This window comes from Homo sapiens, chromosome X, assembly GCF_000001405.40.
Source record: "Homo sapiens chromosome X, GRCh38.p14 Primary Assembly".
Classification (NCBI taxonomy): Eukaryota; Metazoa; Chordata; class Mammalia; order Primates; family Hominidae; genus Homo; species Homo sapiens.
This window is the reverse complement of record NC_000023.11, coordinates 21,157,928-21,163,331: the sequence shown is the minus strand read 5'-3', so window position 1 is coordinate 21,163,331 and position 5,404 is coordinate 21,157,928. Positions and strand designations below refer to the sequence as shown.

General features: G+C 38.4%; 1 annotated feature.

Annotated features, from left to right (window-relative positions):
• Positions 4,069–4,587: an enhancer, noted in NCBI's record as "NANOG hESC enhancer chrX:21176863-21177381 (GRCh37/hg19 assembly coordinates)". NCBI's record gives its function as "activates a minimal SCP1, AML or CMV promoter by ChIP-STARR-seq in naive H9 embryonic stem cells {active_cell/tissue: H9 hESC(naive)}" and the evidence as "EXISTENCE:reporter gene assay evidence [ECO:0000049][PMID:30033119]".

The window sequence follows — 5,404 nt, the reverse complement described above, 5'->3', positions numbered from 1 at the left end:
TTCTACTGCAGTCTTCCTTCATCTGAGGTTTTGCCTGGTGGCCAAAGAGCTGCAAAGAGAAACATCTCTGTAAAAAGACTTCTTAGGGTGTAATAAGACCACAATTAACATATTTATTAGTACCTTTAGTTTATTAAGCCCCTTCACATCAATTGTCATAGTAGATTCTCAGAATAACCTTCTAAGGATGGTGTTTTCGTGGAGATGCTTGGGTTACTATTCTCCCAAGTTGCTGGGACCCTTCATTATCTCCAGTTTCTCTGACCATGTAAGTATTCTAGGCTGGCAAGTGATAGGTTAAGACTTGAAACCTAACTCCAAATATTATGCTCTTTCTGTTATTATTTCTATTATATCACAATCCCTATTACAAAGGAAGGTGTACTAAGAAGCAAAAATAACTTAAGCTTCAGGGACACCAATTGCATTGGTCCCTTCCAAGTTACCATGCCTAATTTTGTATTTGTAATTTTGTAACCTTTTTCTTAAAGAGAGCCCGCAGAGTGTATAGGCTTCAGAGTCCCACAAAACCCAGATCCACTGCTGCTCCACAGATAGCAGGACACTAAGAGCTTAAAAATAGCTGTTGGGGTTCTGGGATAGGTGATGGTTAAAAATTTCAAGGTGCTGTGAAACAGGTAATGTCATGTCTACCAAGAGGCCTCCATACACATTACTCTCAGTACCTTCCCTCTCTCAGATAACAGATCATCATTTTCTTCAGAAAAATCCTGGGTCATTTGCTTCCTCAAGGACACTACTTAGCTGATGAATCCAAAGCACTGAATCAGAACTCAAGGACTTTAAGGGCAAGGTGGGCAGAAAGAAGGCAGGACCCAAGTTGAGGACCTGAAAGAGAAGGCACAATTGAAGCCTGAGATGACATAAAATAAAATGGATCTTAGTGTTTAGTATTTTGAAAGACACAATATACACGGTGAGGACCCCTTATCTCAAATTATGAATAAATTAGAAATTGCATTAAACACTTTAAACCCAACGTGATGGGTTATTTATCTTTTCTTGTATGACTTGGCTTATTTTCATCTCAATTGGGCTGCCATCTGTGGTCAGATCCATCAGACAGGGGTTCAAAAACATCTTTTCGTACCATGAGCCCCTTTGAAATATGATGAAGTCTATAAACCCCTTTCTCAGAATAATGTTTTTAAATATGTAAAATAAATTATTTAGGATTGCAAAGGAAACCAATTATATTGAAATACAGTTATGGAAATAATTATGAAACAACTTCGTGATATAGTGAGATAGTGTTTATTTATTAATGTGTTAAAAATCCAGATCCAATAGTGGATCTGTAATCTGTCATAATTTCAGTGTAATGATGAGTATAAACCCTGAGATGTCTGCAACAGCTGTAATGTGATATGAAAATATCTGTGACTTCTGTTGATGATGAAGTCACAGATACAGCTAGTGTAGTTTGTTGCTGGCATTCATGTTTAAAGGAAATACTAAATTTTATTTAAATGTTTGTGAAAATAAAGATCTGACTTCCTCTCATTTATGTTCACAAAACCCTTGAATTTTATTCACAGATCCTTGCTGGTCAGTACAGATGTGATCTCAAATTTCTAGTTGCTTGGTGCAGGTAATAAAAGCTCCTGTTATGGGCTGAGTTGGGTCCCCCCAAAGTTTATATGTTGAAATTCTAACCCCTAGTACCACAGAATGTGACTGTATTTGGAGACAGGACCTTTAAAGAGGTAATTAAGGTAAAATGAGGTCATATGGGTGGGTCCTGACCCAGTATGTCTGGTGTCCTTATAAGATAAGGAAATTTGGACCCAGGCATACACAAAGGGAAGACCATCCGAAGATATTGGAAGAAGATGGCTGTCCATATGCCAAGGAGAGAGTCTTTAGAAGAAACCAACCCTGCTAACACCTTGATCTCAGATTTCTAGCCTCCAGAATTGTAAAAATAATAAATTTCTATTTAAGCCACCCAGACTGTGGTACTTTGTTATGGTAGCCCTAGCAAACTAATGTAGACCTGAGCCAGTCCTCCAAGAGTAGAGGAACTACATTGAGGTGTCTGCCTTCTAGTTGATTGGAAATGAAATGTTTAAGAGCATGGTTCTGAGTTAAAAGCAAAGACTTAAACCTAGTGTGGAATCCCCATTTTCATTCTTACTATCACTGTGATGTTAGCTTTGTCATCAACCTTCTACAAGTCCCAATTTCCTCATGTATACACGGAAAATGCTAACAGAACCTGCCTCAAAGAATTTTTATGAGGATTAGATGAAATAATCTACTTAATGCACTTGGAATGAAGTCTGGAAAATAGTAAATCCTTAATATGATGTTGATAACCATGAAGAAGATGAAAAATCACCCTCCTTCCTCTCTTCTCCAAAACTCCATCTTAGCAAAGGAGAAATGTGGAGAGCTCTTTTGTGGCATTCTGGTATGGTAGAGGGAGTGAGTAAGTATAAGACTTTTTCTCAGAGCCTGCTTTTATTAATATCTATTCTATTCCTTATCACCAGAACTTCCACTAATAATAAATGATAACATCAAATTACTTTCTTTCCTTATTTCATTCATTCAACATATATTCAGTATGTAATTTCTCTGTGCCAGTCACTTTGCTAGATGATGGGCATATATAAAAACTACCTCTTGGCTGTGTAGTGGACAAGGTGGATATGATCCTTGTCTTTGCAAGATTCATGACTGTGAAAGATATGAAGAGCATGTCATATAAATAGTCCTTTAAAATATTTAGAAGATTATCCTGGAGAAGGGATGACAAGGGGAAACACCCACACATTACCTGCACCACAGAAGCCCTCCTCCCACGTTCCCTTCCAGTTGCACATTTCCCCTCACCTATCAAAGATTAATTTTACCTATATGGAAACTTTATGTAGGTGGAGCCATACAGTACGTCCTCTTTTGCCTCTAGCTTCTTTCACTCAAACTTATGTCAGTGAGATATATCCATGTTGCTGTGTGTAGTTTTAATTTGCTCACTTTCAAAGCCATATAGTATTCCATTGTGTGAATGTATTACTATATATATATATTGTTTTGTTGTTGTTGTTGTTGTTTTTTTTTTTGAGACAGAGTCTTGCTCTGTCGCCCAGGCTGGAGTGCAGTGGCGCAATCTCGGCTCACTGCAAGCTCCTCCTTCTGGGTTTGTGCCATTCTCCTGCCTCAGCCTCCCAAGTTGCTGGGACTGCAGGCGCCCGCCACCATGCCCGGCTAATTTTTTATATTTTTAGTAGAGGCGGGGTTTCACCATGTTAGCCAAGATAGTCTTGATCTCTCGACCTCGTGATTCACCCGCCTCGGCCTCCCAAAGTGCTGGGATTACAGGCGTGAACCACTGCGCCCGGCCTATTTATCCACTACACTGATAATGGACATTAGAATTGTTTCAAGTTGAGGATATTAAGTCTAGTGCGACTACAAGCATACTTTTTTAAAGTTAATTTTTAAATTGTGGTGAAACATACATAACAAAATTTATCATTTTAACCATTTTAAGTGTACAATTCAGCAACGTTAAGCACCCTCACAATGTTGTGCAACCCTCACAACTATTCATTTCCAGAAATTTTTCATCAACCCAAACAGAAACTCTCTGTAACCCTTAAACAATAACTCTGCATTTCTCATCCCAGCCCCTGGTAACCTCTATTATGCTTTCTGTCTCTATGAATTTGACTACTCTATATACCTTATATAAGTGGAATCATACAATATTTGTCCTTTTGTGACTGGCTTATTTCATTTGGGATAATGTTTACAAGATTCATCAATGTCGCATGCATCAGAACTTCATTTCTACTATAAGCATCCTCTTATACATCTTTTGGTGAACACATGTATTAATTTCTGTTGGGACACAGGAATGGGATTGCTGTGTCATATATCTTGCAATATTTTCCCAAGGCTAGTGCAATCTGCTTTACTTCTCTTTAGACTTACCTCCTCATCATACCCTCTCTCCCTTAGCTTTTGTTCTTTGCTTTCGGTCTACAACCATCTCAATACTCCTCCTATATGAAAACTTTTTCTGTAGCTGTCTCCTTTTCAACCTACTGGACCATTTCCTTCTTCTTCTTCTAACATATATACAGTTGAAAAAACAATAAAATGAACATCATATGCTCAGCTCAAGAAACGGAATGTTAGCAGTATCATAGAATCCCTTACATATACCTGCCTATTTACATCCTCCTCCTTCTCCTCCTCAGAGAGATAGCTACTATCCTGAATTTTGTCTAATCACTTCTTTGTTTTTCTTTATAGTTTGGAACTTACATATCCCTAAGCAATCTATTGTTTACTTTCGTCTGTTTTTGAATTAGAAAAGGGAGCTGGAGTATTTATAGTTTTGTACTTGTCAGTCATTAGCTAAGGAATGCCCCTAAGGGACGTCAATTCACAGGTCCTTCCTGATCTCCATGAGAACAGGCGAAAGAAAGGCTCTGGAAGCCCTCAGACCAACAGAAATGCCGGTGCTGGCTGTTTAGAGGAAAGCACATTGGGGGCTGGTATGTATGAAAATGGTAAAGGATGAAAGAAATGTAGGTGTCTGCTTTATCTGTTGACTATGATAGCTTCCTAAGTGAGGTTTCCTGCCTTAGTTTCTCTCCCATACCATCCATTTTCCACTTACAATTACTCCCTCATTCAAATACTCAACAAATATTTATTGAATACTTATGACTTGGAAGGCATGGTCCTTGCCTTACAGATCTTATAGTTTAGCAGAGCAGCAGACTCTGGGCAAATAATTACAGCTGGGATGCAAGGAATGAGTAGAAAGTAGGATCAGGGTATTATGGGAGCATATGTCTAGAGAAAGGCTACCCAGGATAGTGATACTTCAATGGAGTCTTGAACAAGTTGTCTAATCAAAAGACCAAAGAAAGGAGGCGGGAGTGAGGGATGAGAGTGGAGGAAGCACATTCTAGGTAGAGGGTACCTTTTGTGCCAAATTTCAGAGTCTAAAGAGAGTACTCTAAAGAACGGAAAGCACCAAACTCAATGCCTTGGTTGCCTGGAGGAACATTCTCAAAAAATTGTGTCACCAATAAAACTTCTATGAAGTGGTCTGTGGCTAGAATGAGGTTTGAGAAATGGTTGGGAAGTTAGAGCATTCAGGGATCTGAATTAAGAGAAGTGAACAGAGGCATCAACTTGAGCAATGTTTAAAAAACTGTTCCTTTTTTCATTGAATTAGAAGAGGCATAATCTATAGAACTAGCATTCTGTAATGAAATGATTTTATATGTAATCTATATGTTTGGCCAGTATCTGAAATGTGGCCTGTCTGTAAGGAAGGAAGATCAATTACCAAGTTAATTATTTAGGCCTCTGGTCACTAGTCTAATCACTTTGCATCATTTCTTGATTTGAAACC